This window comes from Homo sapiens, chromosome 5, assembly GCF_000001405.40.
Source record: "Homo sapiens chromosome 5, GRCh38.p14 Primary Assembly".
Taxonomy (NCBI): Eukaryota; Metazoa; Chordata; class Mammalia; order Primates; family Hominidae; genus Homo; species Homo sapiens.
This window is the reverse complement of record NC_000005.10, coordinates 59,545,253-59,558,147: the sequence shown is the minus strand read 5'-3', so window position 1 is coordinate 59,558,147 and position 12,895 is coordinate 59,545,253. Positions and strand designations below refer to the sequence as shown.

General features: G+C 34.9%; 1 protein-coding gene across 26 annotated transcripts in view; it reads left to right on the top strand.

The window, feature by feature from the left end:
- Positions 1 to 12,895, top strand: part of PDE4D (phosphodiesterase 4D) — a 1,553,091-nt gene that overhangs the window by 963,981 nt on the left and 576,215 nt on the right. The window lies entirely within an intron of this gene.

Genomic DNA, 12,895 nt, shown 5'->3' with positions numbered 1-12,895 from the left:
AGCACTTAATATATAGTAGATGCTCAGGAAAGATTTATAGGAAGAAAAAATGAAAGCATGGTTTGCAATAAATCTAAATCTATAAACATTCCTTTTTTAGTAGTATTGTTAAACCTTACGGTTCCTGTACAACCAGGTGTATGCCCTCTAGAGCCACCAATAATATTCCAATATTAAATATACATAATTTTATAAACAGGTGTGATTTTAATGTCTCTAGACCTTTCCAACCAGAAAAGCTGAATCCAGGTACTGCTGGTCTTTTTCCTTCCATAGGTTCTCATTTTCCCTGATGCAGTTATTGCCTTTTCTGTTTATACTTTCTTCCCTTTAGGTGACTTCACTTACAAATATAGGAATGCTGATTCATGTTTAGCATTGTGTGGTTTCAGTATTTATTTTCTGTATTTCCACATTGCTATTTTAGCTCATTCTTTAATTAAATAAAATGCCTTATTCTCTCACAGTATCAGCAACTAAAAGAAGGATACATCACCTACAGTTGTTAGTGTGAACTGCTTATATTAACTCATAGGATATATATTGGTAGACATAAACCTACTGACTAAATTATTTCTGAAGTATACTCTACAAACCATCATTGTATTTTTACATTTGACAAAGTGGAAAAAAAAAAACCTGGCCACAATCTTTAACCCTGCCCAGTGTCTCTGGCTTTTAGGCACACAGCCAGTCGGCAATGGCGGCAGGGGTGGCATATAAAGATTCTAGATCTCAAAATGCCAACCTGGCCAGAAAATAAAACTCACTATGTGATACCATTGGAACAAGCTTCTATACCAATGTAGGGGGTGATGGAGGATAATATACATTGCAAATTTATGTAAAACCAGACCATGTGGTATTTCCAATAGTTGTTACAACATTGCTTAAAATGATATAAATGGCCTTATGGATAAAAGTAGAAGTTTAATTTTAGAATAGTTCCTATTTTAAGACTAGATTTAGCAAAAATCCTTATGGCATATGTTTACTCTTGGGGAACCTTGAGAGATAGTGAACAAGAAACGTTAGATCATAGACTTCTTGGCTGCAAAAAGTTTATTTATTTCATCATTTTACTCGTATTCCTTTTATTATTTGAAAAGCTTTGTATAAAGGATTTTTAGAGATGGCATTTCATTAAGGTTATATTTATTAGAAAACAAACTTGAATAATTTAAAATTACAAAAGGTAAGTCATTTTATGTATTTGCCTACTTGTTTTTGTTTTCTCCCTGCCACCCTCCCTTTCTTCCTTTGTCCTTCCCTTCCTCCCTTCCATCCTTCCATCCTTTCTTTATTCATGCCCTGCCTATTTAGAAAAGGATTTGCAGTAAGTTACAAAAAGTACAAAGTCAATAATTTTTTTTTAATTCAGAATGTTAAAAAGAGAAAATTGGGTGAAGAGAAAGTGAATATTTCAATAATAAGAGTCATAGTGCTTCCTCTGAAGGAGCCCAGAAACCCATCTCATAGTTACGTGGTGGCCAAACTTAGCAGGAAAACAAAAGAAATGCTAGACGAGAAGAACACAACATCCATTTCTCAGGAAAGACTAAGTTTTCCTCGTACAGAACCCTGAAATGTATTCTCCCCTGGGATACTGTTTGGATAAACAGTGAGTGCTGTAATAGTCAATGTCTTTACCCACTGCTTCACAGCAAAGCAGAATTCCCAAGGTAAGAATGTGACCATGTAACCTCATTGCCTCACCATTGTTCTCTCCACTCTAATATTTCAGTACTAAATGTGTGTGTCTCTTAGGGTTGCTGTGCTGAATAAGTGAGAGTCACCTGGCACAGCAGACATCTAGTGTGTGCTAAAGAAATGTACAGAGAATGAGAGAGAATTTGAATAAAAAATGTAAATAGAATATTATACAGAAGTTAGGAATTAATTCACAAGTGTGTAAGAGATACTCTGTCTCAGATGTGCAGGCCACTAGTAGTGCAGTGTGACACTCACTGCCTCTCAAGAGAACTTAGTAGTCAGAAAAGTGAAGAAATGACATAGCTTTTTTACACTATATTATGTAGAAAGCTTATTTTTTAATGTTAACCAAGAGCAAGGTCCATAAACTCTAATACCTTCCAGAAAGCACAAAAGACATTGAGATACATTTAGAGAAATAGAGGAAACTGAGCTAGATATTCACGTGAAATAGGATCATTCCACATCTTCCAGCAAATAAATTGAGGTGACCAAGGTCCCAGGGAGCACAGATGGTCATATTCTAATGAAGCTCTGGCTCAAAAACACACAAGCTGAAAACAAGGCGAGGATGCTTCATAACAATGTCCTTTTGTAGGAGAAGTGAGGATTAGTGATGAGGGTAGGAGTGGAGCAAGAGACAGGGATTAATTTGCATAGCCACCTTGGAATCCCAAACTGTCAATGGTGTCAGTGATGCTGTTTGCTTGAGTCCCTAAAGGGTTGAATGAAAGAAGTTAACTAGATACAGAGTTCACAGAAGGTCAATAATCTTAGCTTTCCAACAAGTTGGAGATCGGGGTAAGGAGAAGGGCAGACCTTAAGAAAAGAGTTATACTTATTGCCAGGAAACAGTGCTTCCTTTTGCTGTTTTTCCACAAACAGATTTACCTTTGCCCTATGCATTTCATCTTATTTTAAAAAACAAAACTTTTATTTTAGGTTCAGGGGTACATATGGAGATTTTTTTTAATATAGGTAAGCTCCTGTCATGGGGGTTTGTTGTACAGATTATTTCATCACCCAGGAACTAAGCCTACTACCCAATAGTTATTTTCTCTGGTTGTCTCCCTCATACCACCCTCCACCCTCTGGTAGGCCCCAGTATGCTGATCCTCTTTGTGTCCATGTATTTTCATTATTTAGCTCCCACTTACAAGTGAGAGCATACAGTATTTGGTTTTGTGTTCCTGCGTTAGTTTGCTAAGGATAATGCCTCTAGCTCCATCCACGTTTTGCAGAGGACATGATTGCATTTTTGTATGACTGTATAGCATTCCATTATGTACCTGTACCACATTTTCTTTATCCAATCTGCCATTGATGGGCATTTAGGTTGATTCCATGTCTTTGCTATGGTGAATAGTGCTACAACGAACATATGTGTGCATGTGCCTTTATGGTAGAATTATTTATATTCCTTTGGGTATATACCCAGGAATGGGACTGCTGAGTTGAATGGTAGTTCTGTTTTTAGCCTTTTCAGATGTCACCAAGCTGCTTTCCACAATATTTAGTCTTCTTACACCCCCAACCCCCTTGGAAGTTTAGAATGGAAGCACATTTCTTCAGATGATTATTAACTCTTTGCTTTTTCTGTTTTTACTGCATCATTTAAATTATGGTGTGGAACATCGAAAAGGGCCCTAAAGCCTCTATTGTCAAGTATGACTGACCTCTCTTGGTAAAGCGAGACCTAGTTCTGACTGAGATTCCTCCAGTCGTTTCATGGTTAACTTTCCATTCAGTTTCAGTTGTATTTCATTGTGTTTCCTGCCCAGTGGAGATTCAGCATAGATGACACCTAAGGAAAAATGCTAGTCATAGTGTGAGAAATCATAGCCTTCTCTTTCAAATGCTTTTATTCATATTCCTTTGGACTTGATTTTAGATATTGCTCGCCAAATTTAGCCATCTTTCTTGGTAGACATTTCTGAAAGTTTAGTGATTAAAAGCTTAGAGTCTAGAGTTAAATGGAGTCTAGAGTTAAATAGTCTGGGTGTGGACTCTGGCCTGGTCACTTGCCATCTGTGGGCAGGCCACTTCTTTAAGCCTCAATTTTCTCCCCTAAAAAATGGAGGGGGATGGGGGCCATCATGATACTTACTTTATAAAGTGGTTGTGAAGATTCAAGGAGAAGTTGATACATATAAAGTTCTTAGAACAGTGCCTGGCAGGCTGTAAACAACTATAAAAAGTTAATCATTATTTTCAGAAAAAAAGTTGAGTCAAACCTGAAACAGTGGTACAATGTCAAGAGCAGGAACTTTGCCTTATTAATTGTGTCTTCCTAACTCTATGGACTTAGGATCTGAGACTCTAGTTCCTACAAACTCATCCATCCTGGGGCCTGGCATATGGGAGCTATAAACCACATCAGCCCTCCTTTGCTCTTTTTCCTTAGGGCTGCCCTGAGGAAGAAAGCTAATGTGTATAACATCTAGCATTATGCCAGGTATGTGGCCAGAGCTCAAAAAACTATAGCTATTATTGTATTATATACTTTGCTCTATTTTTTATACTCCTGGTTAATGACGGAGAGCTCTGTGAGGGGCTGCTAGAGGGAAGGTTCAATTATTTTAGAAGCTTTAGTTCTTCCACATTTCACTTTGTAATGTTTGCCTTGCCTTGTATTTATTAAACAATAGTTTACTATACTCGTTCCTAAAATATTAAGTATAGCTTATTATGCCCTGTTAATCTTTCTCAGTGGCATACAATAATTTAAATATCTGCTTGAAAAATCTCACCAAGCATTCATTTTAATGTGGCTTAGAATGTTATATAATATGAAAAAGTACGTGTTCTTTCAGAAATTAGTTCCAAAGAACTCCCTATATCTAGAGACAGGCTGTGAGAATGGAGAAAGTTGAGGAGTGTCTCTGTTAGGAATCTTACTACTGCTTTTAAATTTCATGGAACACCTATTAAATTGCTTCGCAGCTAGGTTATGAGGAAGGGGAGCCCTGCTCACTCTTTTAAAGTTAAAAGTGAAAAGTTACTTGCGGGTGATTAGGGAAAACCATCTCAGAGGAGTGGACTGTTGGCATGGAGACCCCACATATAACTCTTGGGGGATGGCAAAAACTTGAGAGAGGATGCTTTATTTCTCACCTCCTAAAATGCCTTTCCCAGCTTTCTGTGGTGAGAGAGAATGAGACAGCAGTCATACCTAACAGTTGGTGAAACAGTTCTATGGGAGTGAGGGAAAGTGAGGGGCCTAGGATGAGTCAGAAACATGTACATACGGAAAGGGAGAGAGACAATCCTGATTAAATTGTGCCTTCTTGCAAAAATATATATATTTCCACATTTGATACAAAGTGAAGTATATAACCTTGACAAAGCGATATCTGTCAGAAAAAAAATTAGAAAAATTGCTTTAAATAAACAGTCCTTCAAAAGATGTCAGGCACAGAGACTTTCTGAGAAAATGTTTCCAAACTTTTAAGGAACAAATAGTATGTTATATAAATTTTCTAGAGTTTGTGAAAAGAAAATCAACTTTTCAATTCATTCTATCAAGTAGACCTATTTGCAATAAGAAGGAAGTCCCTCAACCAATCTTACTTTTCGGTAGATAAAATCTTAAATACAACTTGGTAAATTGAATCTTGCATTTTGTTAAAAGATTCATGCTCATGTCAAATAAGGCCGAGTCTGTAAATGTACATATAGTTAATTTTGATCAAATCTGGTCACAGAATCCATCATATTAATATGGTGAAAGAAAAAGCAATAGACTTGTATTGACAGGTGCCACAGTGGCATTTGACTAAAACTTAATATCCATTTGTTGTTAGTTTTTTTTAAAAGGATGCAGTGAAATAGCAACAGAAGAATATAGTGTTTATTTCAATGGTGAAACCAATTTTTAAGTGTGAGTCGTTTCTATTAAAGTCAGCTTAGTTATAAGCAATAAGACGTAACATAATATTTGTATGTAATATTTGTTTGGGAAGTTGTATAGTTATTGTCAAGTTATTGTTCTAGTACAACAACTTGAAACATAAAATATAAAATGAAAACTGACTTTATAGCTATGTGGGTATTTACCTGGAAGAGCCAAAGGAATTAGTTGAAATGTTATTAGAAATGATTCAGTAATTCAGATAGGTAGCCAAATACAAAATTACATATAAGAAAGCTATTAGCTTTTTTATAGAAAGTAATAATCAGTTAGATATTATAATGAAAAAAATAAAATACCTCTTTATTTACTTACTTTCTTACTGTTGTCCAGGCTGGAGTACAATGGCACAATCTCAGCTCACTGCAACCTTCACCTCCTAGGCTCAAGCAATTCTTCTGCTTCAGCCTCTTGAGTAGCTAGGTCTACAGACATCCACCACCACCCCTGGACAGTTTTTCAAAAATTTTTTGTAGAGATGGGGTCTTGCTGTGTTCCCTAGGCTGGTCTCAAACTCCTGGGCTCAAGCAATCCGCCTGTGTTGACCTCTCAAGGTGCTGGGATTATAGGTGTGAACCACTGTGCCCGGCCAATTCTTTTTAAATAGCACAAGATTCTAGTCACAAAAACATACTACACCTATATTTATGAGTGAAAATAATAAGAAATTAGAAGGGTTTTTTTGGTATTGTTGTGAAGAAAACAAAAATGTCTTAACTAATGCTAAACAATCCACAATATTCATTCCACTATAGGCAATTCCAATCACATTTTATTTTTGATTTTAATAAAGTATTTCAAAAATCAAGCTAACATGGGAAAATCAAGAAAAAGTTGAAATAAAGCACAGTGGGTAAAGGTTGGAAGGATGTAGAACACACCATTCCAGAGATTATATCATAAAAATTACAGTAACATATATCATGTAATATATAATATTGTAAGAATTAGGACGGTGGCTCAAATGAAGAATTAGATAAAGTTGATTTGGATAGACTATAGATTTCAAATAAGACTCATTTATGTATTTGTGTGTGTGTGTGTGTGTGTGTGACTGAAGTAGCATTTTATTCAATGAGAAAAGGGATGATTATTCAATAAATGGTGTTGAAAGCAACAGCTATCGTTTGGGAAAATAATATAAAGTTAGATTCTTTCTTTAAACCTTATATAAAAATATACATTGGATATATATTTTATTAAATATTTATTTAAATAAAGATTTCATTAATATATAATATATAATTTTATTAATGTAACAACTAAAAAGTAGTTTAGTTAAAATTACTAAAATAAAATAAAAATGAGTATTTAAATTTCAACATAGGGAGGATATTTCTAAGCATATCACTAGAGCGAGAAAGCATGAAGAAAATGTCTGATAGATGTGTATACATTAAGGAATCAAATTTTTCTACACATCAAAAACACCATAAAGAAAACGTAAAGGCAAATGAAAAGGGTGGGATTCTATTTCCAGTGTTACTAAAGAGACATTGACTTTAATGTCTTAAAAATCCTTAGAAATCGTCCAGGTGGGGTGGCTCACGCCTATAATCCCAGCACTTTGGGAGGCTGGGGCAGGTGGATCACGAGGTCAGGAGTTTGAGACCAGCCTGACCAACATGGTGAAACCCCGTCTCTACTAAAAAATACAAAAATTAGCCAGGTGTGGTGGCACGTGCCTGTAATCCCAGCTACTTAGGAGGCTGAGATAGGAGAATCTCTTGAACCTGGTAGGCGGAGGTTGCAGTAAGCTGAGTCATGCCACTGCACTTCAGCCTGGGCGACAGAGTGAGACTCTGTCTCAAAAAAAAAAAAATTCTTAGAAATTAATAAGGAAAAAAATGACCTTTCTTCCAGGAAAATGAACACAATCCATAAGAAACACAATTGGTGAGTTACATGAATAAAACCCCAACTTTAAAGAAATACAAATTAAACAATAGTGAACTAACATTTTCTCTAAAGAGTATTCAAGATTAAAAAACAAAGTCAAAACTAGATGATAACAAATTCAGCGTATTGACTAAAGTCAGGACATTCTTATTCATTAGCAATGAAAGTGAAAGTTTGAGTAGCTTTCTAGAAGAGAATTCAAGTCACACTATGAACCAACAATTTTACTTTGAAGAATTTATCCTAAGAAAAAAATTAAGAATATGTGAAAAGATTTAGTTACATCAATGTTTATTATAGTGGAAAACTGAAAATGTGCCAAGAAAAAAAATGAGCCAAATATTCAGCAGCGGGAATTAGCACAATATACCTTGATATGTTATCAAGGTAAATGTGTATGATAGGATACTGATGCATAAGGATAATTTTTAACATGGTAGATTTTCATTATGTTAAATGAAAAAATAAAAAATACATAAAATGAGAGCCCATTTTTATAATAAAAAATATATAGTCATTCAAGGAAAACATGTAGACGGACATCACAAAATACCAACAACAGGTATGGTTCAAAGTGTTATAGGTGGTTTTCAGCACATAGATTACCCCTAGCAAAGAGACCTCTGTGACACTTCGTTTCTTCATCTGTGAAATAAAGGAATCATACTAGATTAGTTCTAAATGCTTTTAGCAAAAATATTTCATAATTCTATGAGTATTGATGGTTAATAACCTTGAGAAAATTGTTATTATTTATTGAACTTTGGAGTTAGTAGAGTAAAACCAAGTTTATCCTGAGCTATCCCTTGTTTTAGTTAAAATTAGTTAAATTTAACATCCTGATGTTTATTTATAAATTGTGCATGTGTACATGTGTGTGTTTGTGTGTATATATATAGCGCTTTCTCACAAATGCCTGTTTTGCTGTGGAGTGGGTTGGGTGGGTACAGAGTTTCACTGAAATGTATATTCCCCTATAGAATTCTTAGAGACACAAATATATCTTGTTAATAGGTTATATATATTTTCATGTTTCATCTACCATTTGAAACCCTATAACCATTTGAAATCATTCTTGGTTTTGGTAGGTTTCTTTAATTAACATTCACATTGAGAAACTATAAGAGATTCAACCCTTGAAAAAGTCCTTTTGCTAAAGAGATTTGCATGTGCTCTAAAAATTGGTGGAAAATGGTTCTGCTCTAATCAAACGAATGTCACTCTACTCTTATTTCTAGCTAACAGTAAAACTGCCTGGAAAATGATAACGTACAACAAATATCTCAAGTGGTTATTTAGTACCTTGTTGTGATAGTGAATGAAAAACACACTCAGTTTTAATTTGCTGTTGAACACTTAACATTTCACAGTGGCTGGCTGTTTGGAGGCCATATACAATGGTAGAAAAAGTAGCTTTCTAAAAGTGCTTTGCCTCATTCTTGCTTAACCTGGCAGACGTCATGAACTTCCAAGAGGGAACATATTTTATTTGCCTTATACCACCAGAGGACTTGGCCAATTATTGCTATTTATTTAATGTTGGTGTTGACATAGTGCCTTTGCCCTGAGGAGCTCCAGGTGCTTTATAAAATTAGTCAGCAATTCACCTCACAGCCTTTACGCCAGAGAGTGAACATTGAAAATAATAATGATTCGTGGAACCTACAGCCACCCCTAACTCCTATTTCTGTTTGCCCAGTGAAACAGAACAAATATGCCCAGTTCCCTCAGAGAGCTAGCAGAAAAAAGTTCTAGTGGGGTGTCATGGGAGTTTCTCTCTTGTGTAACTAGGTGAACTCCTGTAAGGAAAATTTGCCATGCACCCTGCAGAGCTGAGACTTACTATTCTCTGTTGTAGGACCCATACTTTCCCCAGTAAGGAACTCCATTTTTTTTCAGGCCTTTGCTCAAATATCACTTTCTTAATAAGACCTTTCATGACCATCTGTTTTTAAAAACAACTAATCAAAACCTATCCTCAAGTGCAGACTTTCTGTATCCTCATTCCTGCATTATTTTTCTCTGTAGCACATGTAGCTATTCAGCACACTTAGATTTTTATTTATTTATTAATTAAGGGTTGACTCCATCCCACCAGATCGTAAGCTTTATGAAGGTAGAACATTTGTCTATTCTGTTGAGTTATGAATCTTTAGAACCTAGGTGGGTGCCTGGTACCTAATGGGTGTGAAATAAGCATTTGTTGAATGAATGAGCGAAGGAATGAATGAATAAATAAATTTTCCCCAGTGGAGCAACAAGCAACAGTTGGAGTCCCTTGTTGTCAATCAAATATAAAGATAGCAAAGAGTAAGTAAGCAAGAGTGAACTTGCATCATATCAAGATTTCTTTTATATTCCTTAACATTGAAAATATTCATGTGGTGAAATACAGTATTAGAGTTTTCTCCTTTAGTTGCAAATAATAGAAACTGAATTTAAGCCGACTTAAACAAAATAGCAGTTTGCAGGATCTTGAAACTCAAAAATTCAAAGGATACAGCTAGTTTTAATGGTTGTGAGGATTGCTGCAGGCCCTCTCATGATTTGATTGAGCGTTTGTCTCTGTCTTTCTCTTTCTCTCCTTCTGTCTCACTGTGTTTCTAAGACTTTCTCTATGTGGTAGCAAAGAAAGCTCAGACAGCACAAGGCTGCCTGTAGTAATTCTTGTGACATGAGAGCATACATCTCCCAGTAGTTCCAAGGAAAACCCAGGGCTGACTTGAAACGTGTGCACTTGGATTACAGGTCAACCTTGAGTCAATTGTGACTGACTGACCAGGCCTCTGTGTGTCCCGGTTGTGGAGGTCAGTTCCATCAGTAGGAGGGGGATTAATCAAAGGAAAATCAGAATTCTTTATCAGAATAAGAGGAGAAGATGCATGACAAGTATTCAGAGATACACTGTAACCAGAAAAAATGGTCATATGTGAAGAGTATCTCATTACAACAGGGAGGAATGTAGTTCTAAGTCTTTTAAAGTTCTGCTTTCCTATAATATCAGATGACCACATATTTCACAGCATAATTGTGAAAATGATATTTTGAAAGGAAAAAGGAATTCTTATCTGAGATAAAACTGTCAAAAAAGTCAAAATTTGGCTGTGAAAAAAGTGAACGTTTACTTGAGGTTGTCATTACTTATTTCCTTCTTATATAATTCATATAATTCTATATTATTATGACATTCATATAGGCAAGGTGTTAAATTCTAATTTGATTTTATAATTTTTCAAAAGAGACTTAGAATGTGCTAGAAATCCTAAAAATTTCTGTTCCAACTATTGGTATTTGAATTATGTATATACTGCCCCTTTTTTTCCTATAAAAAACTGATAGAAGTTCATAGATAAATAAAATTCACAGATAATGTTACAAATTTATTTCAAATGTTACTTCTTGCCTTTTTCTATGCCAAGATACTTAACAAATACTTCAAAATTGAAAGTATTTTTACTCCTTATTTTATCTATTCCACAGAATAGTTAGAGGTAGAGGAAGAATTAGATAATATATTTATTAATAAGTCAACATCCTATTAATGGATGAACATAGAACCAACTCATAGGCAACACAGTCAGAAAATCAAGGTGTGGCTTGGTTGGCATGAAAGCATAATGCCCACAAGAACTACTGTTGTTGGTTATGCTGTACTGTATGAGAAGGGCATTTCTGACGTTAGCTTTGATACTAGCCTTTTAGTAACTGAGTAAAGTTAGTGAGTATACTCACCCAGTTCAGATTATTAATTCAGTACTAACTCAGTAATTTGGTGTTACTACATACTGAGATATCCAGCTGGATTCAGGATTTGCTCAATTCAATTAGCAAATCCAGTGTTAAGGGGAAAAAGAAGCTTTGTGGGTAAGCATTTCTAAATTGGTGTTTTTATGAAGCCACAATATTCTGGTAGTTCGTCTTTTCCTTCAGTTCTCTGAAGTTGTAATCATTTCTAAATTGTTGCTTTCTAGGTAAAAGATGTGAGATAGGGGAAAGGAAGGCTTTCTTAGGAATTTTTTTTCTTTCATTGCCCAGTTAAATTGGATTTGTGATTTATATCCATTCATCCTATTCATACCCATCATATATCTGTATACATCTGTCATATATCCATCCTGTTCATATCCAATCCAATTCATAAGACTTTTCCATATTTTTCGTGAGATTAGATTTTTTTAGTGGGTGAGAAGAAATAAAAGGCACATAATATTAACATGCTCCTGGCATTCCAGCAACGAATAATGCCATAGCAATTTTATAAAGATTAAAAATACCCTAGCTCACTATGATTTTGATGAGCGCAACGCACTTTTGGCTTTGTGGGTCCCCTCCTCATAAAAAATACAAAATTATATTTTGTAGCTGCATTTATGTAAAGATAAATATAATCTAAACTGTTTTGTACTCATTTTTTCAGATTTTAAAAGAGATTTAACATTTCTATGAGCTCCTAAAATTATGAGCTCTAGGAATAGTGCTTACTGTGCTATTGGATAAACTAAGCTGGCATTGTCATAGCTAAATTGGTTACATTTTAAGCTGTGAATGAAAGGGAATTTGGTAAACCAAACAACTGTTGTATGCTTATTGTTCATTCCAGTATAAATATATTTTTGCTATTAACATTAGTTATTACAAGTGGAATACGAAGGGGTGGACTCAGGGTTTGGAAAGAGAGTTAATGCAAGTGAGTATTTGACTCCATCAACAAAACTTTACAAGTAAAATCCTCAGGTTTTGTGCCTGTAATCTTTTTACAGGATTTAATGCTATTTTACTTCGTCAACAATTTTTTTTTCTTCAAAGATTTGTATTTTTAAATGACTGATGCTATGAAAGAAAATACCCTCATGATTATATTTATATTGTGAATTTTTACAGTAGGGGCAAACTAGAATTTTTCATGCGGAGAGCACTTTGGGTTTTACTCAATATAGCTCTTCAAAGTTCTTCAAAGTTCAAAGTAAAAATTGATGCTAGAGTAATTTTCCTGTAATCTAGGTGAAAAGCCCACATATCATTTAACAAAGTAAATGCTCATTCATATTTAATACAAACTCTTTTTTCTTCTGTTGAAGCTGACTTTTATCCAATTTTTAGTTTCCAGTTATCTATGGTTTTGGGAAACAGAGCTAATTTGGATTCATGAATTCTGTAAACAAGTATTTCTTGAGAAGCTCCTGGTTGTGAACTACCTAGAATGAAACTGGGTAAACTAATATCAACATCCATTCTTTTGCCAAACATCACTGATAAACTGCAACATTTTTTTTTTTACGTGAGTGGTCTTGGAATCAGACATTTCTGCATTGAAAACCCAGCACTGTTGCTGACTGGCTGCATGGCCTGCATCTACTTCTCACATTTCTGACT